The sequence below is a fragment of the Homo sapiens genome, chromosome 5, assembly GCF_000001405.40.
Source record: "Homo sapiens chromosome 5, GRCh38.p14 Primary Assembly".
Taxonomy (NCBI): Eukaryota; Metazoa; Chordata; class Mammalia; order Primates; family Hominidae; genus Homo; species Homo sapiens.
In genome coordinates this window covers 75,657,727-75,684,318 of record NC_000005.10, presented here as the reverse complement: position 1 = coordinate 75,684,318, position 26,592 = coordinate 75,657,727, and the positions used below count along the sequence as shown (strand labels likewise).

The 26,592-nt window shown below is 38.3% G+C and overlaps 2 protein-coding genes across 15 annotated transcripts in view, besides 2 other annotated features; one reads left to right on the top strand and one right to left on the bottom strand.

Moving 5' to 3' along the window:
• The window catches only part of POC5 (POC5 centriolar protein), a 43,314-nt gene extending 33,119 nt beyond the window's left edge, over positions 1 to 10,195 (top strand). For 6 of the 8 annotated variants that reach the window (XM_011543160.2, XM_005248436.2, NM_001099271.2 and 3 more), the window contains 2 exons: positions 6,369 to 6,545; positions 9,741 to 10,195. In XM_011543160.2, the coding sequence (XP_011541462.1) occupies positions 6,369 to 6,545; positions 9,741 to 9,884 (321 nt within the window). In that variant the 3' untranslated portion in view covers positions 9,885 to 10,195. The remainder of the gene's footprint in view (positions 1 to 6,368; positions 6,546 to 9,740) is intronic. The other 2 variants (XM_047416725.1, XM_011543158.3) reach the window with 1 other exon arrangement.
• Positions 10,196 to 12,472: 2,277 nt separating this feature from the next.
• ANKDD1B (ankyrin repeat and death domain containing 1B) overlaps positions 12,473 to 26,592 on the bottom strand; it is a 60,394-nt gene continuing 46,274 nt past the window's right edge. For 5 of the 7 annotated variants that reach the window (XM_017009814.2, XM_017009816.2, NM_001276713.2 and 2 more), the window contains 5 exons: positions 24,938 to 25,036; positions 20,830 to 20,925; positions 17,326 to 17,527; positions 14,936 to 15,067; positions 12,473 to 13,340 (listed from right to left, as the gene is read on the bottom strand). In XM_017009814.2, the coding sequence (XP_016865303.1) occupies positions 13,279 to 13,340; positions 14,936 to 15,067; positions 17,326 to 17,527; positions 20,830 to 20,925; positions 24,938 to 25,036 (591 nt within the window). In that variant the 3' untranslated portion in view covers positions 12,473 to 13,278. The remainder of the gene's footprint in view (positions 13,341 to 14,935; positions 15,068 to 17,325; positions 17,528 to 20,829; positions 20,926 to 24,937; positions 25,037 to 26,592) is intronic. The other 2 variants (XM_017009815.2, XM_011543618.3) reach the window with 1 other exon arrangement.
• Positions 16,839 to 17,340: an enhancer, noted in NCBI's record as "NANOG hESC enhancer chr5:74962804-74963305 (GRCh37/hg19 assembly coordinates)". NCBI's record gives its function as "activates a minimal SCP1, AML or CMV promoter by ChIP-STARR-seq in naive H9 embryonic stem cells {active_cell/tissue: H9 hESC(naive)}" and the evidence as "EXISTENCE:reporter gene assay evidence [ECO:0000049][PMID:30033119]".
• Positions 19,751 to 20,950: an enhancer, noted in NCBI's record as "BRD4-independent group 4 enhancer chr5:74959194-74960393 (GRCh37/hg19 assembly coordinates)". NCBI's record gives its function as "activates an origin of replication core promoter dependent on BRD2, P300/CBP, MED14 and CDK7 cofactors, and independent of BRD4, by STARR-seq in HCT116 cells {active_cell/tissue: HCT116}" and the evidence as "EXISTENCE:reporter gene assay evidence [ECO:0000049][PMID:35650434]".

Below are 26,592 nucleotides of genomic sequence, written 5' to 3'. Positions count from 1 at the left end.
ACTATGTTTGAAGAACACTATTGGGTGTTTTCAAAGGTGTGGGAGGTTAATGTATATTTAATTTTATATTTTCTATTCAGCTAACACCTTTCCTTTTTCCTAAATGCAGATATATCACTAACACTGCTCTGTAGTAACTCCATCTTGATCGAGTTTTAATTTGTAATTTGTAATTGGAATGGAGAGGAATAGTTTTTCCTAGAATCAGTGAGCTGCTATTAGAGAAGTGCCAAGAGGATAGTGTTAAATGGGGATGGAAGGTTTGTGTGAGAACTTGCCTGAAATGAAATTGATCAAGCTGTTAATATGGTAAGAGGCCGGGCATATTGGCTCACACCTGTAATCCCAGTACTTTGAGAGGCTGAGGTGAAAGGTTTGCTTGAGGCCAGAAGTTTGAGACCAGGCTGGGCAATATAGCGAGACCTCATCTTTACAAAAAAGTAGAAAATTAGTCAGGCATGGTGCTGTGCACTTGTACTCCCAGCTACTCAGGAGGCTGAGGCAGGAGGATCGCTTGAGCCCAAGAGTTCAAGGTTACTATGAGTTATGACTGCACCACTGCACTCCAGCCTGGGCAACGAGCAAGACCCTGTCTCTAATTTTTTTTTTTTTTTTAACTAGAGTTTCAGATGAAGCACATCGTGGCTCTAACTCCTTAGCCTCCTGTTGTTAAACTTGTATTCTGCAAACCATGTTTCTCAAGTAAGGGTGGAGTACAGATGCAAGCCAAGCTTATCAGACTCACCTGTGCAGAGCTAGCAGTGATTAGTTAGTCAGTTTAAAAAAAGCCATGCGCGGCGGCTCATGCCTGTAATCCCAACACTTTGGGAGGCTGAGGAGGGTGGATCACGAGGTCAGGAGTTCAAGACCAGCCTGGCCAAGATGGTGAAATCCTGTCTCTACTAAAAATATAAAAAATTAGCCGGGCATGGTGGTGGGCACCTGTAATCCCAGCTACTTGGGAGGCTGAGGCATAGAATTGCTTGAACCAGGGAGGCAGAGGTTGCAGTGAGCTGAGATCACGCCACTGCACTTCAGCCTGGGCGACACAGCGAGACTGTCTCAAAAAAAAAAAAAAACAACACTGTTAACTTCTTTCCTGCTGTGGTGTGGATCTGGTATAAAGGCATGTATAGTTTTATAAAGCTCCTGAGATGATTCTGATTTGCTTGTCTTCCTCTTCTCCCCAACTCCTAACCACTTACATAAGAGGAAAGAAGAGGCAGAATAAGTTTTAGGTCTTAAAATTCCCTTGGCAGGCCATCAGAAGGTGCCATTGCTCTGGACGGCTGTCTGTAGCTAAAGGAGGTATTGAGACAGACAAGTGGTCACCTTTAGTATTCTAACAGGTTTGAATTTTTACCTTTCGAGAGCTACTAACTTTGGGAGAAAATACATTGAGATCAGTTATTTACCAATTATTGACACAAAGAGTTTGAAAAATATCTAGCACATGGCTAAGAGAAATTTATGTGGGGGAGCTGTGACTTAGAAATAAGACATTGGCCGAGCACAGTGGCTCACGCCTGTAATCCCAGCACTCTGGGAGGCCGAGGCAGGTGGATCACAAGGTCAGGAGATTGAGACCACGCTGGCCAATGTGGTGAAACCCTGTCTCTACAAAAATACAAAAAAATTAGCCGGGCGTGGTGGCATGCGCCTGTAATCCCAGCTACTCAGGAGGCCGAGGTGGAAGAATCACTTGAACCCGGGAGGCAGAGATTGCGGTGAGCCAAGATCATGCCATTGCACTGCAGCCTGGGTGACAGAGTGAGACTCTGTCTCAAAAAAAAAAAAAAAAGAAAGAAATAAAACACTAAAATTCAACTCTGACATATTTTCAGCTGTGTTTGTTTTCCATGATTACACATTTTGAAGTGTGATCCTGCACAGATGACCTCATTTAAACATTCACTCACTGTGTTTATGTTCTGGTTTCTCATTCATCTTGCATATGCAGTTAACACACGCGGAGCTAGATTTTTCAAAATTCTCTTCCTAAAATGTAACTTCATGGGTACATCTGCATTTATATGTAAACCTGAATATGTATGGGAAGAACTGAATGAATGAGTTTGCTTAGCACCCTTTTTATTGCTAACTTTTTGAATAATCTGGTCATCGGAGATAGTGTTGAAGTCTTTGAAACCTGAAAACCATAATATTCTGTAGACAGCCCTTCCCTGTCTGCCCTATCCCACTATATCCACTTCTTCAAAAACAGATACACACTCCATTTCAGTCACATAAGTAAGTGGCCTTTAGGGCCAGGGAGAAAAGAGAATCACAATTAAATCTATCTCTAAGTATAATCTTAGTTTTCTTCCTTCCTTATATAGTTGAAATACTCAGATTTACCTCAAATATGTGTTTTTGTTTTTAAAAGAAACTTGATAACAAAAGTAGGAATAAATCCAGTAGTTGGCTAACTTACTGTGAAACCATCATTGTTGGGAATAGGAAAAGAAGAGAGAGATTTGCAATCCTGGCTTGGTTATCTTTCTTGTCATTTTAATCACAGAGGCTTCCTATGAACATTCAAAAATTTTTTTCAGTTTTTCTTGGTATTTCCAGTAGCTAAAAGGAGATAGGTCCAGAAAGTACAGAGAATTAGCAAACAAATAACTGGAGAATGGAAGATTACCATGCTAATAAAATAATATCTTATTTTAAAATATTATTATTTTAAAAAATTATTTAAATTTAAATAAAATTATTTAAAAAATAATAATATTAAAATGATTTTCTTTAATGCAGACATCCTCAGTATGTTAAAGACAATATCAGAATTTCATGGTGGAAACCATTTTTCAAAAAAGGCTGGACAGTTATACAAGCAAGCATATTGCAGTTCATAAAGTTGAACAGTAGATGGCATTTTATTCTTTTTCTAACTTCAATTGGAATAATTGAGGGGAAATATTTTTCACTGAATTTTAAAGCTATTTGGTAAAGACCTTTAGTAAAGTTTCTCTTCTAATTTTCCTCTTCATTTGAATAGAAAGTGAAAGGGTATCATTAGGGAGTTGGTACTGCGTTCTCCATTTTATAAATGAAGAAATTGAGGCTTAGAGAGTATGCAACTTGCCTAAGGACACGATTAGTAACTGATTTGGAATTCAGACTTTGAAAATCTGATTTAGACCTCTTACTCTTAACCAATGATCTGTACTGTCTCTCTGTCAAATATTAAGCTACAAATACTGTTTTTAATGTCATTTCATTTTTTTTCTTACTCCTTTCAATTTTGTTGCTTATGTTGATGTGGCTTAAAATGCTAGAATTTTTATTTTTATAGCATTTTTTAAAGTCAGCTAAGCTGATAAATTTAATGAACTCCAACATGATTGGTACCAGTAAGTGGTCATTTAATTTGCAGAGAATGATACATACCTAATGCATTATTTTATCCTAAAACATAAATATGTATTAATTTGCTGGTTTTAAATGTGGAGCCAAACTGAATGTGGGGTCAAAGATTGTAATTGTCATCTTTTTAATATAAACCACACCCAATATATTTTCTATGATCTCCAATTTCAGTTTCTGTAAAGCATGAACCTAACAAAACTTTCCAAACAATCTGATTAGAGAATCCTTCTAGGTTTTTCTTTCCTCCCCCTGATTAGTAGCAACTTTTTTCTAATAATTTATCTTTATGAATTATTTCTAAATTGTCCTTATGCATTTTCAACTTTTTCATCAATTTATACAATTTTTAATACATTAAATAAACATTAACAAGTACAAGTGACAAACCATCTGAAAACAAGCAGCCGACAGTAAACATGCGAGCCATTTAAGACAACTTCTATTTAATTCAATGAGCGTATAGAGATTTCTTTTAGAAGTCTTTTAGAAGTCATTTTATTTACAGGAGTATATATTTTCAAATTATTGAAGGCATTCTAAAGCAATTCTGAGCTGGGTTGAATGAAGCTTATCATCTATGAGCATTTTTCCTGCTACTCTAATTTTCTTCAGTCCAGACTTCTCTAGTTTTTCATTCACACCTGAAGCTCCAGGTGAGAATCATGGCTACTGAGAGGACACCCCTCAAGCGTGATTGGGCAGGAGGAAAGTTACAAACTCAATTGTACTTATTTCCACATTTTGGCAAAGAATATTCCTGCCAGCAATTAGTTTTCTATTTTGAAATAGCATTTAAGCATCTTCAGGAGTTTGTAAAATCTTTTTTGTCCCTTATTGTAATAAGTAATAGGACAAAGTTTCCCTCAGGCCAGAAGCATGAATTTAGTCCACAAAAACATATTTGTAAATATTTTTAAATCTGAGATTTAGTTTTTCAATTTCATAAGATCCATAGAAGTTTATGGTTTAAAAAGCCAAATCATTTTTACAAGGACTATAGTGAGAAACAGTCTTCTAAATTCCTCTCCCTAACTCTGTTAGCTGTTTCTTCTGTTTCCATTTTTTCCTAAATAGTATGTTTATATCATTATTTCTACATTTATTAATTTCAAACATTATCTGTTAACTTATTACAGATAAGAGGACTTGGCCTCCTGATGCCACCTTATTCCTTCTCTCTCTCTTCACTTTCCTTATCCTCCCTGTATGTTATAGATATTCCCATTTCAGATTAAATCATTTATGATTACTAATATAGCTAAGCCATGAATGTGTACTATGACTACATTTCCTTTCTGGTATAATGTTTTGTTCTTAGAATTAATTGCTTCATTTTTATCTTCGGTTTTCTATCCAACTATAGTGAATTATTTCCAAACTCTCCAAGGATTACAAAACCCCACTGAATGCTGTTTTCCATAGGGTCTTCCAAAAACATCAATACTCTGTCATTTTAATTTTCCCAGAGACATCTCTCCTGAAGCCCACTCTCTTCCCATTTCAGTATACAGCTGTGACTGTGTGTAGCTAGATGCAGCTATATGGAGAATCACAGATGAACTATAATAATCGGGAAAAGATTGATACTTAATAAATGCCTTTGGAAAAACTGTTTAGAGAAAAAATGAATTTAGATTAATACTTCACACTGGAATTTCAAATGTTTTAATAAGCTAAGCCAAAATAAGTAAATGTTATAAGAATATAACTACCTCAGCTGTCCAAAGCTGGTTTTGGTTTCATCATGGAAGCAAGAGGAAATTAATGACAGGATTAACCACAACTTAAAAAAATGGATGTGCATTGAAAATTAAGACAAATACATGAAATGGGGAAATCGTTTACACTCTGAGATAAGTATCTATAATTATTAAATGAGTTTAGTACTCGTCAGGAACTATTAAATTTAAATATTAATATCCTTTCAATTCTTAGCAAATAAGATGAATAGTTGACAAAATGGAATACAAATATGAAACATTAATAAAGAACCACAACTTGAATAGTAGATTTCACCTCAGACTTAAACAGGCGGCTGTGTAATTGATTGACAGTGGAAAAATAGTCCACTTACGTGTTATTCCTGCTGTAAATATTTTTCTGGAGTATTATCCAGCGATAAGCAGCAAAAGCTATAAAAGCTGATAATACTTTTTGATATGATCGTTCCATTGTTTGCAATATATTTTTATTATACAGAAGTAACTCTCAAAAGAGGATTTTTCTTTTGCAAAATGTGCTAAATGTAATAGAAAAAGAAAGACAAAGTAGTATGTTGGTATAAAAACCATCTCATTAAGAACTATAGCAGGTCTCTGTATTACCTCGTAAAAAAAAGTATATTAATAAAATGAGAAGGAAAAAAGGCAGAACACAGAAGCATATGTGTAATGATAATATTAATTATGCTTAAGGATCAAAGAGTCCATAAAACAGATTAATGGTTTCCAGAGGTTAAGGATGGTTGGGGAAGGAACAGAGAGATGGATATGACTGTCAAGGGTGGCACGAGGGAGATCTTCGTGGTGATGAGTATTCTGTATCTTGATTGAGTGATAGTTAACAGGAACTTAGGTGATAAAATGACAGAGATCTATACACAGGCATTATCTCATGGTGAGCTTCCTGGTTTTGACTTTGTTATATTCTAATTATGTCAGATGTAACCATGGCAGGAAACTGGGTGAAGAGCACACAGTACTTTTCAATATGATCTCTGTGTCTTTCTATAAATCTATCATTTAAAAAAAAAAAGTTGGTTTTTTAAGTTTCTAAAATCTTATAAAATCGTTGGCATACTCAGGTTAAAGGGATATTTTGGGGTGTTCAGTTTTGTTTTGCTTTTCGTCTTGTGATTTTGTTTTTTCCATGTTAAAGTTGGTTGAACATACAGTTATTTTAAGTGCCTGTGTATTCTTCATAATTTATGGAATCAATAGATTTTGCTGTGGATTTTCTGCCACCTTGTTACTTCTTTTATTTTTTTTTCTTCTTAGTATGTGCCAAGAGTTGTAACCTCTGCACAACAGAAAGCAGGAAGAACTATTACAGCCCGGATCACAGGAAGATGTGATTTTGCTTCAAAAAATAGAATTAGCAGCAGTTTAGCTATAATGGGAGTTTCTCCTCCCATGAGCTCAGTTGTTGTGGAAAAACATCATCCAGTCACAGTGGTGAGTCCACATTTGATGACCTTTTGTCAAAAAGTCTTTTTCCTGAGAGTTCATAGACTAGTAAACACTTACATAACATGTTGAGAAGATAAAAATTTATGATGACTGGTACTTGTTCTGCCTTTTCCTGTTACAGTTTTTTTTTTTTTTTTAATATATATACTTGTTTTTCTCAAACCTGCTATAAATCTACGTTTCTGCTGTTGGGAAATTAATTTCAGAAACATCGTTTCTTCCAAACTGTAAAAATTATAAAATACTAAAAGTAATCCAGTGTGTTTGTGGTCAAAAGAGTAAAATATGTAAATGCTTTATTATCAGTTTAAAAAGAGACAAAAATTGTTCACTCACTAGCTGCTCATGTAGCAGATATTTGATTACAAGAAAACTCCCCTACATTTATAGTTTTTAATTTTTGGTCCTTTTTTAAAAAAAGTCTTCCCCTTTTTTCAGTACAATTGTCAGCATGTTTTTAGTTTAACAAAATTCAACTTGCAGTAAATGCATGTGATATAAAGAAGGTGCATTGAATTTGAAGCAAAAATTTTAAAACCCGAGTTAGTGCTTCAGCTTTGCTACTTGTTGGCTTTGTGATATATACAAATCAAGTAAAATATTTGAGCCTCCACTTTCTCTTCTGTAAAATGGGGTTAATAAAAATAGTTAGCTCCTTGGGTTATTGTTAGGATTCAAGATTAAATGAGATAATGTGAAAATTAAACGAGATGTATTAAGGCATTTTATAAACTATAAAACCATAAGCAAATTTAACTTACTGAAAGTTACTAGAAAAAGATACATGAGATATCTCTGAATTATTTCCTACAAATGTGTACGAATCAACAATTATCTCAAAAAGTATAATAAGAGTGATAAGAACATCCCTAAAGAAAAACAAGGATTTATTTATTTATTTATTTATTTATTTTTTATTTATTTTTTTTTTTGAGACAGAGTTTCTCTCTTGTCTCCCAGGCTAGATAGAGTGCAATGGCGCAATGTTGGCGCACTGCAATCTCCGCCCCCTGGGTTCAAACAATTCTCCTGCCTCAGCCTCCCGAGTAGCTGGGATTACAGGCACCCGCCACCACCCCCAGCTGATTTCAGGGACTGATTTTAAAAGAGAATGCCCTCTATAAATTCTCAGCATCGGACAACGTTCCTGTGTACTTTCTAAGTATTAGCAAAAAAAAAGTATATGGAATGATTTTAAATCCTTTTTTCCCGAGTACTAGCTGGGCACTAGATGATTAAATGAAGACAAGCTGGATTGATTTGAACTGAACTTCAGGTGAAGTGGGACCTTAGCGAGGTGGAAGGCTGGAGATAGAAGCACCAAGTCCAGATAGAGACATGGAGATGACAGAGGATTTATTTTAGAATTATCTTAGGTTTCATGTTTCATAAGTTGGACAGACTCTGAAAGTTCGTAGAAGACTTTTCTATATATTTTTGAATATGGAAGACAAGTTATCAAAAATGAGAAGAAATAAACCCACTTCTGTTTTTTCAGATGTAGAAAATGTATAGAGATGGTGAGAGACTGTCCATTTGTGAGGTAAAGAAGGTGTAAAGAGAGCACATGTGTGTTTATTTTTTATTAGACAAGCTTTTGTTTTGTAGTAATGATGGGAATTCATATTTTACAGAAGAAAAATCAAAGTACTAAACATTTAGAACCCTTGTTTCTGATACTTATCTCCCATGCTGCCCTCCCTTTATTCAGTATGTGCATTTCTTACCCACTAACTGTGTATGAACCAGATAGCCATCAGCTGCCTGGATTATGTGACAGACACAGTGGCAGTCATTTGTACTGTATTTCTTTTCACCCTGGGAATCAAGATCTAAATCTACCAGAAATAGTTATTACTAAAAAACCAAGGATGCGATTTGTGACACTGTAGCCTCATCTGCTGGGTAACTGCATGCTTCTAGGGCCACTTCATTCTCTGTCATATTTTGTGTATCATAATTTCAGTGGCTACTTTATTTCTACAGTTCCTCTTGCCCATCCTCCTCAAGGAGAAAGCCTTTTTGGCAGGCTCAGGTTAGTGGCTGGCAACTAATTAGGTGACTGGCAACTAAAATTTCTTATCTGTTGCAAGAGTATCTCCTATTTATAATGGTTATCCAGTTGTTTATGTACAAATAAACGTTTTTATAAGATACTTTAAGAAAAGAAGTTATTTTTCTTTAAAAAGGAGTTCTGTTCTTTTTAAAATGGAATCTGACAGGATCTTTTGTTTTTAAGAAGTTTCATTCTTTTTTTAAGCAAAAACTACAGCTTGGAGTTTTTTAAATACATAGTGAATGTTTTGACCAAATACATGTAATTTTACTTAAACTATTTTAACAATGACTTTTCTAAGTGGAAGACCCTAATAGAAATTGACATGTCCTAGTCAGTGATATGGACTGAGAACTTGATAACAAATCCCACTGCTGGCTACTAAGAAGCTTTATCGGGTTTAATAGGGAAAAGCCTTGTACTGATACATATTGTTCATGTTTACATGTAAATGTGTACTTGTATACATAGTGTGTACTTACATGCATTACATGCATATTATGTGTGTCAAGTAAGTCACGTGTGTCCTGACTTTAATGACTCAGTGCTCATGTCTGAGGTGTTCCTTTGAGCTCTGAGGTGATGTGCATAAAAGTTTTAGTCTGCTCCCAGGTGAACCAGGTTAAATATGAGGGCTCTGGTTTAAAGCAAGGACCAGACTGCATCCTGAGGGCTTCCGTGTGCCCCTGGGATTGTGAGATAATCACATCCACATACTAACAGTCAAGTAGAGAGAAGGAAGTTGGATGGAATGAGGGGAGGACTCAGGGCTGACCCCTCTTCCAGACACCACAGAGTTTCTCTCTGTATACAAAGCCTCTGTACACATTACAAGATTCCACTTGGCCCTGTTGGAGGAATGGCTGCCGTGGCTTTCTTAATGAGCCTTGTGGATATAGCTCTGATATTACACTGTGGGTGTTGAACATGTCAGTCAGACTGGGTAGGGGTTCCTTACAGACAAAGGCCTCATCTAATTAACAGCTGCTTCACTCCACTCATTGCTTCTTTCTACTGGATCTTAACAAATGTTTATTGGGTTAAATTATAGATGATAGATGATGAAATGATACATAGTATACATAATCTTGGGATATTATTAAAGCAGAATTTTGTCTTTTCAGCAAACCATTCCTCAAGCAACTGCAGCAAAATATCCCCGGACCATTCATCCTGAAAGTAGTACCTCAGCTTCCAGATCACTTGGAACCAGATCAGCTCACACCCAGTCTCTCACAAGTGTTCATTCCATAAAAGTGGTTGACTAAAGTGAATATGTCCATAGTGGGGTCTTTTAATCCCTCTGGTCTTACCAAGGGTTAGAAGTCTTTTGGTTTTAACTTTTCCATATTGTTAGAACATCATGGAGACATCATGTTCATCTGTTCAAAATTACAAGAGGCTTTTTCAAGCTCTACCATGCTTTGTAACTATATGTAGAAATTATTTTAATGTTATTTTTTATTTAAGCAATTAAGTAAAACTTTTTTAAATTAAAAAAGAAACTGGACTTTATTTCTTTAATATGTTTAGCCTGTTGCTGATTACAGCATCAAAATATATAAATTTATTTTCACTATTTATAAAACACTAAATCATTTCCAATATTACACAGCTGTAATTCACTCAAAGTGTTGAGAGGGAACCTTACTAAAAACAAAGTATTAGAACTAGTGGAAACTAGGATATTTTTATTTTTAATTTAAAAAAGACCAAGTGTAATAATGATTTTTTTTTTTTTTTTTTTTGAGACAGAGTCTCGCTCTGTCACCCAGGTTGGAATGCAATGGTGTGACCTCGGCTCACTGCCTCCTCCTCCCATGTTCAAGCAATTCTCCTGCCCCAGCCTCCCGAGTATCTGGGATTACAAGTGCCAGCCACCATGCCCGGCTAATTTTTGTATCTTTTTTTAGTAGAGACAAGGTTTCATCATGTTGGCCAGGCTGGTCCCGAATTCCTGACCTCAAGTGATCCGCCCGCCTGAGCCTCCCAAAGTGCTGGGATTACAGGCATGAGCCACCACGCGCGGCCCCGTTTTTTGTGGCTTTAACATGTTAGTCTTCATTTTTCCAGGACTCTAACAACAGTTGAAAATAGACGGAAACGGCAACACCTATGAATCATTTTTTAATGCCAAAAGGGAAAACATTTGTAATACTAGCACTAGAGTTACAGAAGTATCAGAAATTTCCTGTTAGAATGAGCCTGTTTCTGGTGTTCTTTCTCGCCTTATTATTTGAAACTCTGCAGCACTGAACCTACCTTGTTCTCCCCGAACATCTAAACACTGTTCTGTGGTGGCGTAGCCCTGAGCAACTCAGCAAACCTAGGCCTGGGCAGAAATTTTTCAATGGCTGGCCAATACAAAGAAACCATCTGGGCAGAACTGATTTAGGTGAACAAGACTTGGCTTCTAATGGTTTCATTGCTGACTGATTGTGTGGGCCAGACAATTAAATGAATCTCTGGATCCTCATCTGTGAAATAAGAATAAAATCTACCTACTATTTCACAGTACTTATACATAAAAATGAACAGGTTCTAAAGAGTTTGTCCAGGACCTCAATTTCCATCTCTTTTAACAGAGTGGATGGAGTTAATCATCTGAAGCCTCTTCTAATTTGAATATAAGTTCTCTGCACTAATTTTTATTATAGGAAATAGGTTTTCTTGCTGCCTCACATTGTTCACAGGACATCAGAGAATAAATGTGATATAGGCAAATAGAATCCTAAGGCCTTTCTGAATTACTAGGCTGTTTCTTAAAGGGTATTAGATATTTACACAACACTTGTTCTGGATTCTGGCCCAGCTACCATTGTGGTAAACAAACAGCTCCACCCCTCATGGTCTTCAGCAAGCTTTTCATGAACACAAACCACAAGCACCTCATCTCGTGCCCTTTCCATGTGTGTGCTCTTCCCGGGCTTCCCCGTTCACTCCCAGTTGAGTCAGGATAGTGCAGGCTCCACTGGGGAGCCCACTCATGCAACCCAGAATTAATACTTGGCATTATGGTAAACAGACCAATTCTTCCTTCCTTCTCCCTGTATGAATTGTCCTGAGATGCATTAGTATATCATGTCTCTCAGAATAGAGTAGCCCAAGATTAAATAATCAGTTATGCTTGTACCAAGTGATGGCCACTTAGGTAATTCGCTTTGTTCTTGCTCTCCCTCCTCCCTAGACAACTCCCCTTTCTCCTCCGCTCCTTCCCCGGATGTACACTTCTGAAAAAGTTGTTGCACACAAACTTCGGTCTTAGACAAGCTCTACTTTTTGAGGAATCTAGACTACAACTAGGAATGGTTTTCAGTATCCAAGCCAAAACAATATGGACAAACTGAAGTGAATATTATGAATGTTGTGATTAAGAATATTATAAACATATTTTTAAGCTTTAAGCTCTAGAAATGTATGTTGTCTAAAGCACCAAGCAATTAGTGTTGGCCTAAGTTAATGTAAATTCAACAGTTTAACACTTGACACAGTTATAGTATATATTCATATTTGTTTATTTTTGCATAAAGAGGTTACCCCAATCTGGTGGGGAGCAGTAATAGAGAAAGAGAGGTCAGTGGAAACTGGCCATACTGAAGAACAGATGGGACAATACTTCTTCTCAATATGTTTTTGAAAAACGTTTTGGAATCATGTGAATCTATTACCTGTTTTAAACATTCATAAGATTAAGTGGGCCATTTATAATCAGTATGAGACAAAGACATAAAACTATAAATTCATGATAGAATAACTGGATTGAAATTGCTTATGGTTTTAGTATGTGCCTTGTAAATTTAGAGTCAGAATCTGAGAATGGAGAGTCTTAAATTCCAATGAATAGGTGCACATAAACTGACACTCAATTTTACATTTATTTCATAACTCTTAGATTACAAAAATAATGCATGTTCTTTGTGAAAAAAAGAATGGAATGTACCCAAAAGTACAAAGAAAATAATCATCTGTAATTACATCACCAAGAGATTTAAAAAAAAAAAAAAATGGTGTACATACTTCTGGTCTTTCCTAAGTAATATATTACACAAAATGTGTGATTTAAAGTCAACAATGACTATAAATTCCAAACCCAGTTTCTCTTACTGAAAGAGAAATAGCAGTTGATTTCCGTACTATGGGCGTGAGGCTACACAGGCATTTTCCCTTCATCTTCATTCCAACCCTATGGATTAAATAGACATCTCTCCCAGTTTATAGAGAAGGAAACTGAAGATCTAAGAACGTAAACAACATTAACATGCCCAAAGGTTCACATCTAATAAGTGGCAAAACCAAGTTCAAAACCATATTTGTCTATTATAAAAACCCTTGTTTTTTTACTGTACCATGATGCTGCTCCCATGAGTTTTTTAAAAAAACATGACATACAAAACCGTCCTAGATTATCTTATTACATGGATTACATCAAATGATTGATAGAAATGGGAAAATCACATACAACTTGCCCTCAGCAAAAAAAACTATATTTGACTTTTTAGTGGTTGAAAAGTATCATGGTATTACTCTTCTTTCATCTGTTAGAGTTCCCTGTCACCACCATCATCATAGTTGAAAATCAGTGCTACTGCTAGAAGAAATTTATGGCATTAAAAGAACTGAATGCTGAGTGGAAAATCATGTAAATACAATTTCTTTAGGCATTTATGAAACTACACATTTCTTGGAGTTTGAGTCAGTTTTGCTTTTGAAATGACGAGTCTTTTCTGGAAAAAATAAGATAACATTTATGAATACCTAAAATTTTTAAAGCACTGATTGTCTACCAGGCACTATTATTCATTAAATCCCACAACAGCCCTTTGAAGTAAACATTTTTATTTTCTTTCCTAGTTAATAAATGAGAAGGTTGTCACAGGAAGGTCATAGAACTTGCTCGAGGTTTACAACCAGTCAGTCAGCTTTGGAGTTCAAGAGTGAGCTCACACAGCCTTGCGTCAGAACACATACCCTTAGCCAGTTCAGTGGACTGCATCTTCATCTTCTCTAAGAGTTCTTATGGAACCTCTTTCATAGGAAGAATACATTTAACCCTTTTCCCATTTAGAAAAAAAAGTGCAGCTCACTGCCAGCACTTCTTCAATTTTACATAAATACGCTCTTTGAGGCTGAAGCAAATCTGATTTTCATTGTGAAAAACAAATATACAAACTTCTTGGAGTTATTTCTAAACAGAACTAACATCAGAATAGTCTGAATCATCCGAATCATCAATTTCTGAAAAATTGGATTCATGGAATGAATCTTTGGCCAACAATTGTTTGAGAACGATGTTAACATCACATATAGGAATGCTACATTTTCTAGGACTTGACATTTTCAATGATCAAGAATTTCCATATTTTGTAAATGGAAATACCACTAGTAAAACCAGAATGCTATAAGTAGAATGATATCTTTTGTTTCCAAAGTCAATATACTAGAGTGATCCAAAAATAATAATAAAAACAAGATAATTCATGGCAAAGTTTTTTCAGGGTAAATGCTGCAAGCACCACTGGTGAGTATTCTCGGGGCCAATGGGAACAGGGTAAAAGTTGAGGGAAAAACTCCAATATTATGAGATCATGTGATGGAAGGTAAGTATCCACACATTGTTCCTTGTACCTACTACTGCTGGAAACTATTGGATCAGTCGGTGTTCACTCATTTATCTTCTTGCTCCAGGTAAAACTGCTTCAGTGAAAATAATGGCAGATGTTCCTGTATTTTGCTTGAATGCTTGTTATTACATGAGAGCTACAACACCGCCTAATTTATTGATAAGTTTTTAAAGGATCTTTCCTGACAATATGGTCAGTGATTTTGGCAGACTGATTTTTAGCAATAACCTCAGGTGGCAAAGTAATAGCCTGTCTGCTCTTTTTGTTCTACCTAGAGATAACATTTTCAAATACACTAACCTGCAGTTTATCAACAGGGGTAAAATGGCATTTTGAGCAAGACAACTCTTAGTCGTGGAGAACAATCCTATAACTGTATGGGATAGTTTAGCACTTCTGCCCCACCCCACCTGCCCCCACCACACATACACATAAACAAAAACACTCCCACACTTTTTCAAATGCTGAGTAGGGGGATGACACAGAACTGCCAGGCTAATGAGTAACCAGTATTGACTGGGTCATTCCCCAAAGGAGAAGCTGCTGACAGCTTACAAGCCCCTTCCATAGTTCCATACTCCGTGTGAGCCACAGCTAACACCACGCTGGGGCTGTAGCTGGTCAGGATGATATTTCTGTAGACTGCTTCCTGAAATTTTAAGGGAGAAAGAATTTCTGTTGTTGAAACTGTCACTTACCAGCTAGTTTTGGGAAACCTGCGTGTACCAGCTCTTCATACAGTTGCTTGGCCGGGTCACCCTGAGTCATCAGGGTCCCGTGTAGCCAGATAAGCAGAGCCCTGTGGCCATGTTCACGGAAGCTTTCATTTCCTGTGCCAAGCACAAGAGGTCCGAGGTAAAACACCACGAGCTGCTATCTCTTTCCATTGTGATCTCAGTTCCAACTAAACTTTCTGAATGACTGTTTGCTTGCCTGTTCCTCTTCGAAAAAAGCCCTTCCAGTTGCCCTCGCTGTGCTGCTTTATGATGACCAGCATTTGCTTTCCCTCCAGCCTGTGCTATGCACCTGCTATGCTTGGCACACACCCAAAGGAGTGTACAAGAGAGAGGACAGCTGTGGTGCCTGCCCAGGGGGAACAATTTTAATGAAATATGCAACTTCTCATAGACCAGTGCTCTTCAAACTCACAGTGCTTATTTCACCTGGGTATCTTACTAAAATGCAAGTTTGGATTCAGTAGGTCTGGGGTAAGAATCCATGCATCTAACAAACTCCCGGGTGCTGCTGCCACTGCTGCTCCATATTCCCCACTCTGAGCAGCAAGCATGCACCATTCATTCTGCCACTCCAGTCTCAAGGAAGCTACTCTGAGGGAAGTTTGCATCCCTGGGCCAGGATTATTCATTTGATAAATACTCACTGCATATCTCAGCCTAGAGAGGTGTTGGGGGAAGTACCGGGATAGGGAGCCACAAAGCCTCTGTGGTTCCCAACAGGACTTCACTACAGGCTCCTTGCTCTGAGAGAGAGTGTGCAGGAGCAGACATGCTGTGCAAGGGAAGGGCCTGAGCTCTGCAGGGGTGAGGGAGAAGTTCACTGGACAGACTGATATGGAGAAGCGGGCATTTCAGGGAGAGGGAACTGCATACTTACAGAATGTACTCCTGGACAAGTCCTCTGTTCCTTTCCTAATCTTGCTCTTGACAAACTAATTTTTCTTAAATACCATCATGAGTCTGTCACTCCTTTGATCAAAAGCCCACAAACTCCCCAGTGCCAGTAACCTTACCCTGGATCACAATATAATTGAATTGCAAGTGTCATTGTTATTGTGCCAACTAGATTATAAACTCCATCAAACATGCATGGCTTAGAGAGCTGATGTATCTATCCCTCATCCAGCAGAAATAAACACTCCAGGCCCTCCATAAAGGTTCCATCGAAACACTTTAAAATCCCCCTTATCCTGCTGGCAAGTACTCTGAAGATACACTATATTTTCAAGTCATCTCTTTAGGTCAAGTTAGAGTTCCAGGAGGCAACTCAATTTTCCTAAAGACTTCACAGAACACTATAAGCCTAATTAATGACAAAAAAGAAATCTTAACAATAAAAAAATTTTTCTAGTTAGAAACTAGTTAGTATTCAATGTTTTCAATACATTATCTTCTATTTTTCACATGAAAATGTATCCTAAGAATGTGCAATACAAAGTCTCATAATTTACTTGTATGTGGTATAAATAGTGTGTGCTCATGGACTGTGCTTCTGCCATCCCCAGTTCCCAGCAATCCCTAATACAAATAGACCCCTGAGCAAGGACACCTTCTCGTCTTAGGATGTCCATGAGAGGGCAGTGCTCTGAATAGAAAACTTTGCCAAGAAACATGTTTGCTTCATTGTTTTCAAAGCTAATTAGTTGATTAATGCCAAGTAAACTTTCTATGTTTCCTAGGTTTTCGTCTAACCACAAAAAACAAAATTAAGGAATCTAGCTGACCTGACTTCACTAATTATGACAGTTTGAGTCCAGCTGAAATGATTCCATTGCTTGGAATCATCTAGCCAAGAAAGCCCTCTGAGTCTGTATTTGCCGTGTCGCTCATGGCACAGCCAAGTCTCCCCTAAGGCAGTGTCCTACAACAACCCTTTCTCCTACACCCACCTGCTTTAAGGAATTCCTCTTTCTGGAGCGCAGACTTAAACAGCGAGCCTATTGATTACAGAATGAACCCATTCACCCCAGGACAGTCTCAAGGAACATAGAAATCAGATTGGCTTCCCACTGACACACCAACTGTTAAATCCTTGCTTGCTTCCTTAGTGACCGTCCAGTTGGGAATCTTACTGTCTCTCTAGGCTAAATGCACATGTCTGATATGGGTCAATACACATAATCATCCTTTACAAACTTCGGTTTACTGCAGACCATGAGTGTTCACTTTCTGCAAATCTTAATGCCCAAATCACTGGTGTGGACCTAAGCTAACTGCCCCTATTCCTGGGCCCCTTGAAGACTGCAGCTTATTGTGAGTGCCACACACTTCCTTGGAAGACCTCACACCAGGAGGCACTGCTGTTCCTAACAGTGAATTCCTCCTGCCCACATCATCTAGTCTGTACTCACCCGACCACTGCTCCTCAATGGCTCTAATCTGGTCATCTGTAAAGTTCCACGAACGGGCCAGCCTCTGCCACTCATTGGCCTTCAGCTGATGGTAAGCCAGGTCCCAGAGAAGCGTGCGAATGTGTCTGGTCTCCAGACTGTGATCTTGCTTGAATGTCAGAGTAAAGCCTGTTGACGGGTCCCTGATGCTCTCATGATGCTCCTAAAGTGAAAATAATTGTATCAGAAGATTTCAGACATGTTCTACTTATTACCTTATTTCAGAGTATATATGTTTTTCAAACATAACTAGTAAGGTGGTAACCGAGACTATGTTTTCAATGCCTCCTGTCACTGGATCATATATATATTTTTTTTTTTTGCCATCCAAAATGGAAATAAATGCTTGAAATTAAAAGCTTGGGTACCGTCTGTCTGACACAGGAAATGTGAGGGATTTTGCCTATTGTGTCCCATGCTGCTTAGAACAGAGAATGAGAACAGAGAGGCTGTCTTGGCAAAGGATGTGTCACAACAACAAAACCATCTTTAATGGCCTTTGTTTGAACCCATACCCCCATTTCTTCTTTTGGGTATTTGATGTTCTCATATTGAAGCTTCGGTGAGCCCAGATTGGCTGTATCCTTAATAAGACCCCACAGCTGGTCCCTCATTCATCCTGCTCTCTGGTGAGCATAAGGAGAGTAAACTAGGAGCCTAGCTCAGGCTGGGGCTTGGGGAAGAGGTGACTAAGGGAGTGGAGAGGACAGGAGTGGACATCATTTAAAGTCACTATAGCCAGGCTCAGACCAACAGCACTATGCCTAGATTGGCATCTTGTTTTCTGACTGTTGAAAGGTTCCTTTTGTCCCTTCTGCAGAATCCACCAGAGTCCTGCAGAATCAAACCACAAACACCGGAGAAAATCACTGAGTGAAAGCAGGCATCACTGCTTCCTAGAACTGCATGCTGTGCTTATGCCACTAGGCCTCCAGGTAATCCTCCTGCAGAAGTTTGCAGATCAGTTAAGGACATGCAGGACAAGTGGCCCACCAAGAAGTCTGGGACTTCCTTTCTCATGTATAGTGACTTCTATTTTTGTCTTTCACTTAAATAGAGGTGTATCTTAATGAAAATATTCTTGACAACAAGATGGGAATCCAGGCTGGGGCAGGAAATGAACCAAAACTGTCTAGGACCCTGGGTTTAAAAACTGATGAGAAGAACTTGATGGGCCCCCACCATGGATCCTTCACAGCATCAGAAACCTCCTCCAGGAAGCTCGACAAGGGAAATGCAATAAGCTCCTCCCGGGAAGCTTGGCCAAGAAGGGCAAAACCTTCCTCTAGTATCTGAACTTTGTGTACAGAAGTTGAAATAGGAATGGGAGGTGTGAATTACCCATAATTGTTTTAGAGACTGTAAAAAGCAGGGTCTTCTCCAACCCAGCCTCAGCTTTACTTCCACAGTGCCTAGCTCCCAGGAATTCTAAAAGAAGTAAGATTGAGGATGGGGAGCTCCAGCAAACTTGGGAGCTGTGGGCCACTTCACTTTGTCCTTCTCTCCTCATTCCATCTCCTGAAACAATGATGAATCCAACAAGATCAAGAGCCTAAATGTCACAAGGGAAAGGGAAGAACACAAAATGCTTCTGCATCTATCTTTGTGCGATAACATTTTTAGCTCTTCAAGAAACTTACATGGTTTGTGCCTTTCAGGATTGGATTGGGTGGTCCCTTAGGCTTCCATTGAAAAGGGCAGGAGATTTGGAAAGCCTAGGTCTTTTTCAGCAGCCAGTGAAGCATTAAATAGCTTGCCTGCCAAAACACTGAACTATTTGCAGGAATAACATGAGCCAGAACTGGTGGAAATTAAAATAACATAAGCCAGGTTTTAGGAAGCTCCCATTTGCCTCTGAACCACTGAATTTAATAATGGATGATTGGGTGGTTAGGTTAATGGATAAATGGATATGAGAGAGGAAATTTAAATCATATCTTTAATCCTTTTACTAGGAACCATTTTATATTAGGCGAGGATATAAACTTGTTCAATGAACAAAGAGAATTTAAAATAATAAATGCATTTGGTTAAAAAAATATTTAAAGATGTATCTTAAAAAACAAGTATTTCTCCCACTCCAGACCCCAGGACCCCAATTGTCACCGGAGTTAACAACTCTTACCATTTCTGGGGGTCTCCTTTAGCTATATTCATGTTTTATATATGGTTTTCAAAGTATACCTAACTCTTATGTCTTAAAGATTCATTAGGAAAGAGGGCATATTCATTTGGTGGGAAAGTAATTTATTCTTATCTACCCAAAATAATTTTTAAAGAGCTATCAGGAATTAAAAATAGAACCAATGAATATTTCTATTTCCAAAGAAAATGTGAAAGCAAGTTAAAGAGAAAGAGAAAAGATGGAACTTGGCAAAGTTGTCTTCAATAAAATACAATGATAATTTAAGAAATTGAGCCTGAGGATAGGAAAAGAGGAAGAGGTAAAGGGAGGAGATGGAAGAACATAGAAATATGAGGAATGGGAGAGAAGAAACAGAGTTCCAATTGTTAAAATAAAAAGTTTTACAAGCAAAGCACTTTTTTTGTTTTGTTTTACAGGCAAGAAAAGTTGCAAGGAGGATGGTGTGACCTTTAAAAGAATCCATATATATCAAGACTACCAAGCTAATTAAACAGGATTGTGAGAGAGAAGGAGATGAGTAAATGCTTTTTGCTTTAAGGATTTAAGGGAAATTTCCCAAGACTGGCCAGGTGGACAGCAATCCAGGTTTGTAGAAACTCAGGGTGGGCTCCAAGTGATTAGGGCCTGAATTCTGGAGCTAACACATTGGGCCAGGGGTAGCCACGCAGCCTAGAATGGAAACAACACATCACTATAAATCAAGAATGGTGCCTGGCAGTGCCATTCTTGCCTGAGGGCATGGAGTTGAATCTTGCAGGGGAGGGCAGTCTATTGAGAAGCTGCATGGGTAGCAGATATCAGAGGAAATAAAAATAAAAGAACAGCAAAAAGAATGACTTACAGACAAGTTTTTTTGTGTTCTTAGATGAATAAGGTTTTCGTGACTCTCACAGAATACTTGAGTGCCTGAAAGCCTGCACAGCGGTGTGTTGAAAACTGCCGAGCCACACAAAGGAGTTTTTTAACCACTCATTCGTGCTACTGGGAATAGCTCATGGCCAGACTGTGGACAGAGGGAACAACCAGGCGTCACCCATCAGGGGCTCACACGCTAGGCCCATTATAGCTGGCCTGGTCAATGCCGCTTGGCCCTAGTGAACTCTACGCGCTCTCAGTTCTGACGTCTGATGTCCACAAAGGAAGAGGCAGCTGTTCATTCCACGAATGGGGGCAGCACAAGACAGAAGGGACAGTTATAATTGTACTGACCAGAGCTCTGCTCATTAGAGCAAAGAATGGCACAGACCCCCCCATTGCCCCTGCAAGAAGATGGGTGTTGCCAGGAAAGCCCCTGCTGTGCTGGGATCGTCCTTCCTTACCTCTCTCCAGGCGTAGTATCTCTCTGCTTTAATGAGCATGCCCACGACAAGGCTATGGTTGCTCCTGGAGGCCACAGCCAGGGCAGTCTTTCCTTGCTAAAATTAAAAAAGAAAAAAAATTCAGGTGATATGGCCTAGTGATTAGGAGCTCTAGTTTTGGAACAAGGGGGCCTCGGTTCAAATCTTGATTCTACCAGCCCATGCTGGGTAAACTTAGGCCAGTCCTTTGCTTCTTTGGGTCTTTATAACTACCCCATAGTGGAGTGGTCAGGGGTAAATGTGATAATGCATATAAAGCCTTTAGAACCTGTGCCACCCTGAATATTTCCTAGCCTCTTTTGCAGTTAGTTATGTGACCTAAGTTCTGGCCAATGGTCTGTAAATAGAAGTGGGACATGCAACTTCTGGGAAGTATCTTTAAACAGAAGAGAGATGAATGGCATTTTCCTTCTTTTCTTCTCCCTCCTGAGTGGAATGCTGACATGATGGCAGGAGCCTGAACAGCCACTTTAGACCAGGAAGTAGAAGCCATGTTTTGAGGAGCACTGAGTAATAAGACAGAAAAGGGCTGGATCTTATTAAGAATAATATCAATAATGGCAACCCTGGTAATTCATAGGTCACTGGACCCCTAACTAGAAATTTTTTCTATTATACCATACTGCCTCTCACCAAGGGTGAGAGGTTTTAATCTTAAACAAATGGAATGATCAACAAGGGCTGTTCTGGACATAATTTTGGGAATGAACTGCCTGGAGCCCACATGGTAACTTAGACGAATTACAAAAAGGTACACTTTTCTCAAGATGGACAGAGCTCAAAGCCAGGGCATAGAGCTTTGCAAGCAGAATCCTCTGGATTTCATAGAGTGCACCACTTCAACATCTAAATATTTTTCCCTGAGCAAAGGATGGTGGTTCTCATTTGCTTTTCAAATGACCCATGAAGAATTTGCTCAGAAAACAATTAAAATTAATGGTCAGAAATGACCCAAGAAGAAGAGTTCCAATCTTAGGAACCCTTATGGATCCAGAAATATATCCCAAGTATTATCTTACATGGTTAGATATTTGCAACAAGTGCGATTCCCACCAATATAAATGATTTGGTTCTTAGTCTAGGCACTAAGACCCAGGGGAGCAGGAAAATTAGGGCTGAAAGTAATCAGCCTGTAATCAAAAGAGACAGTAATGAAATTAGGAAGAACTGCATTTTGCAGGCATTTAGCAAGCCTCTAATTGTATGCTGTCTACATTCTGTCTTGCAGAGCCATTTGAATCACTATAATTAGCCTGCTTTGAGAAGGCAGCATTCTGAGAGCCAGAGTTTCCAAGTTCAAAGGAAAATCTTCCTAAGGAATATATGCTGGAGTGAAAATCCAAACACTTCTACCCTTAGGGGTTGGGAGGTAGCGTGGATAGAAGGTTCTCTGAGAGCTTTTTGACACCTCAGGCCAAGAGGACAAGCAGAGAACAAGCTGCTGGGAAAGTCAAATTTATACCAAACTTTGATTCCTTATTTCCTAACCAGACCCTAACATGGTCCTAGAAACACTTTTCTTTGGCAAAAAAAAAAAAAAAAAAAAAAAAATTGTGGGAGCCAATAGAAAAGATATTTTTTATTCATTTATTAACTATGTATTGGGTGCCAACTATGTGCCAGACCTTGAAAAGAAAGGAGAAGAAGGGAAATCTGGGAAAGTCAAATCATGAGGCCCAGTAAACTGTGAGCTCTTGTTTTGAAAACAAAGTCAAATGGTAGCATTGACTGTATTTACTGGAATATCTAGTCCACTAAGCAGCAGGGACCCCAACATAAATCCCTGCCCAATGCTATAGATTTCGTACCCACAGAATGGCTTTGGGGGTATTAAGTATTCATGAAAAAGTAGAATAAAATACAAAACAACAGCATTAAAAAATACTAAGGCTAAATGTTAAACCAAATTAACCAGGCACAACTGGTGAAAGTGGTGGAATTCCACACAAGTGATAACATTCTGTGTTGTGTTTTCCTCCTTAAGCTTTTCTGTGTTCTAAATCGTCCACAGTGGGCCTGTGTTACTTTTTTTTTTTTTTTTTTTTTTTTTTTTTCAGACGGAGTTTCGCTCTTTCACCCAGACTGGAGTGCACTGGCACGGTCTCGGCTCACTGCAACCTCCGCCTTCCGGTTTCAAGTGATTCTTCTGCCTCAGCCCCCGCTGTAGCTGGGATTACAGTTGCGCATCACCATGCCCGGCTGATTTGTGTATTTTTAGTAGAGACAGGGTTTCACCATGTTGGTCAGGCCGGTCTCAAACTCCTGACCTCATGATCTGCCTGCCTCAGCCTCCCAAAGTGCTGAGATTACAGGTGTGAGCCACCGCGCCCAGCCAGTCTGTGTTACTTTTTTTATGATCAGAAAAAAAAAAACAAAAAAACCTAATTTTAGAAACTGACACACAGAGAAAAGTAAAATAACATATAACTACTTTAGATCCTACACATGTAAAATGGATGATTCTGAACTAGAGTAGGGTGGACTCAGGCTTGCACTGTGACTTAGGGAAGTGCTGGCTATTGAACTGTTGGGTAAAAATAAGGAAGGGAAAACTGCAAGTTTCGGAAGCAGTCATCTTTGCTGACAGTTGTAGCAAAGCACCAGATGACAAAGCAGCCACTACTTGGATTTGAAGCCAGCTCTGCCTCTTACTATGCGTGTGACCCAATGTCATCAGAATCTCTCCAATCTGCTCTTGAAAACTGGAGTGATTTTGTCCACCTCACTGAAATGTGAGGATTGAAGTAATATGGCCTGCGTGAGCACCTGACAGGACTGTACCCAGGGACCTCCTATATAACATTCAGTAAAGCTGGAACCTAACACAGCTCTCTGACAACCCTCCGGAGGCTTAGCCTGCATTACTGCACCACTTGAAAGAAACAAAATTGTCCTTCTTTAAAAACAGGTTTACACAATAGCCAAAAGGTGGACGCAACCCAAATGTCCATCGATGGATGAATGAATGAACAAAATGTGGTATAGACATACAATGAAATGTTATTTAGCTTTGAAAAGAAATGAAATTCTGACACATGCTACAACATAGATAAACCTTGAAGACGTTACGCTAAGTGAACTAAGCCAGTCACAAAAAGGCAAATACTATGTGATTCCACTTATATGAGGTACTTAGAGTGGTCAAATTCATAGAAACAGAAAGTAGAATGGTGGTTCCCAGGGGCTGGGAGAAGGAAGAAATGGCAAGTTATTGAATAAGTGTAAAGTTTCACTTTTGCAAGATGAAAGTTTTGGAGACCAATTGCATAACAATGTGAATATGCTTAACCATACTGAACTATATACATAAAAATGGTTAAGACAGTGTTTATGTGTGTGTATTTTACCACAAATTTTTTAATTTAAAAAAACAAGTTTAGACATATGTAAAGTCATTCATTGCAGCTATGTTTATAAGAGCAAAACCTTAGGAACAACTTAAATGTCAATCAAGTGAGGACTAGCTGAACAAGTTGTGATATGTCTGTGCCACGCTATACTATGCAGCTCTAAAAAAAAAAAGAATGAAGAAACTCTCCATGTAGTAATATCTCCACTTAATAATGCTAAAAAAGCTAAATGCAGAACAGTATACTAGTTATAGGTATGCCATCAGTGTCTAAAAAGGAAGGAGGAAGGGAATAAGAGTAAAATGTGTTTATGTTTGCTTGCATATGCATAAAAAACTCTGGAAGGAACAGAAATAATTTATAATAATGGATATATATAAGCGGGGTAGTATGGTAACCAGACAAGTAGGAACAGGGGTGGGTGGGAAATTTTTACTGTTAAACCCTTACTAATTATATTCTTTTATTTCTGGACCATACGAATCTATAATCTTTTCAGAATTTGAATTTAAAAACACATATTTTTTCTTCAGAGTAAAAATTTTTACTGACATAGCTCAACCAAAATTGGGGTATTTTACTGACTATGAAGATGCATGGTTTCTCCAGTTTGTGCCCATTTCACAAAGGATATTCCAATAACGCTGCTCAAGGCTGACATCCAACAGGAAGGTCTTAGCAACCATCTCAGCTGAATGGAGTAAAGTCCATGCACTTACCTTGTCAACAGCCTTCAAGTCACAGCCTGCCTTCAGCAGGGTTTCCACCAGTTCCACATTTCCACGATCAGCAGCTACATGCAGAGGGGTTTGCTGCTTCTGCCATGAAATTAAGGAGGGGAACAAACTTGGACGGTGAAAAGACAAATGGAAAGTATAGCCATCCTATTTAGGTTCAAGGGAAAACACAGGTCATATATTTTTTAATGGATACTGGGGCATTCATTGCATTATTATTTGCAATAGTGAAAAACTGAAAGGAAATTACATGTTTAACAAGGAGACTCACTAGATAAATTATGATAATCTATATATTGGAATAACAGGCAACCATTAAAAATTATTTTTTTAAAAATGATTTCAATATTAGGTACCTAAAGTAGTCAAATATATAGAGACAGAAAGTAGAATGGTGGTTCCCAGGAGCTGGAGGAGGGAATGGGAAGTTACCGTTTAATAGATATAAAATTTCAGTTTGGGAAGATGAAAAATGTTCTGAAGATGGATGGTGGTGATATTATACCAAATGAATGTAATTAATGCTGCTGAACTGTACACTTAAGATGGTTAAAATGGTGGATTTTATGTGTATTTTACTACAATAAAAATTATTTCGAAGATTTTTTAAAAATAAAAGACGCTTTTGATATAACATTTGAAACTTTAGGAAATGATACTATCTAGTTGAGCTTGATTTAATGAAAAATACACATAGAGAAAGAGACAAAAATACAGTACAGAAAAATGCTAATGATAAGGTCTAGATGAAGGGATTAGAGTTTATTTTTATTGCCTTCTCAATGCATTTCTGTTCTCTAAATTTTCTACGTTATAATGTATAAAGGAGTCCAAGACTTCAAATTTCCTTCTGGAGTAATCATTTTCCTATCAAGAGGATAAGAGTTTCAAAAGAAATATCTGAAATCACAAGAAAATCACCCGTCTTAACCTCTCACCAAAAGGAATGCAGATGTGAAGAGATTTCTAAAATATTAGGGCAGAGAGGATCCTTTGATGTGATCTAGCCCAACTCCTTAACCAGAAAGGGAAGCAACTACCCCAGACTCACAGAGCTGGGCAATGGCATGTGGCCCACTACTCTTCCTACCAGAGCACAGGGCCAATATGCTGGGGATATTACCAAAAAACATTTATATATTTATTTATATTTTAATTTTTTTCTTAGAGACAGTTTCTTACTCTGTCACTCAGACTGGAATGCAGTAGCATGATAGTAGCTCACTGTAACCTCGAACTCCTGGGCTCAAGCAATCCTCCCTTCTCAGTTTCCTGAGTAGCTGAGACTACAGGCTCTACTAATTTTTTTTTTTTTTTAGCGATGAGGCCTCACTATGTTGCCCAGGCTGGTTTCAAACTCCTGGCCTCAGGCAATCCTCCTATCTTGGCCACCCAAAGTGTTGGGATTACAGGTGTGACCCAAAACACCTGGCTTCCAAAAAGTATTTCTTTTTTTTTTTTTTTCTTGAGATGGAGTCTCACTCTGTTGCCCAGGCTGGAGTGCAGTGGTGGCGATCTCAGCTCACTACAACCTCCACCTCCTGGGTTCAAGCAATTCTTCTGCCTCAGTCTCCCAAGTAGCTGGGATTACAGGCGCCCAGCTAATTTTTTGCATTTTTAGTAGAGACAGGGTTTCA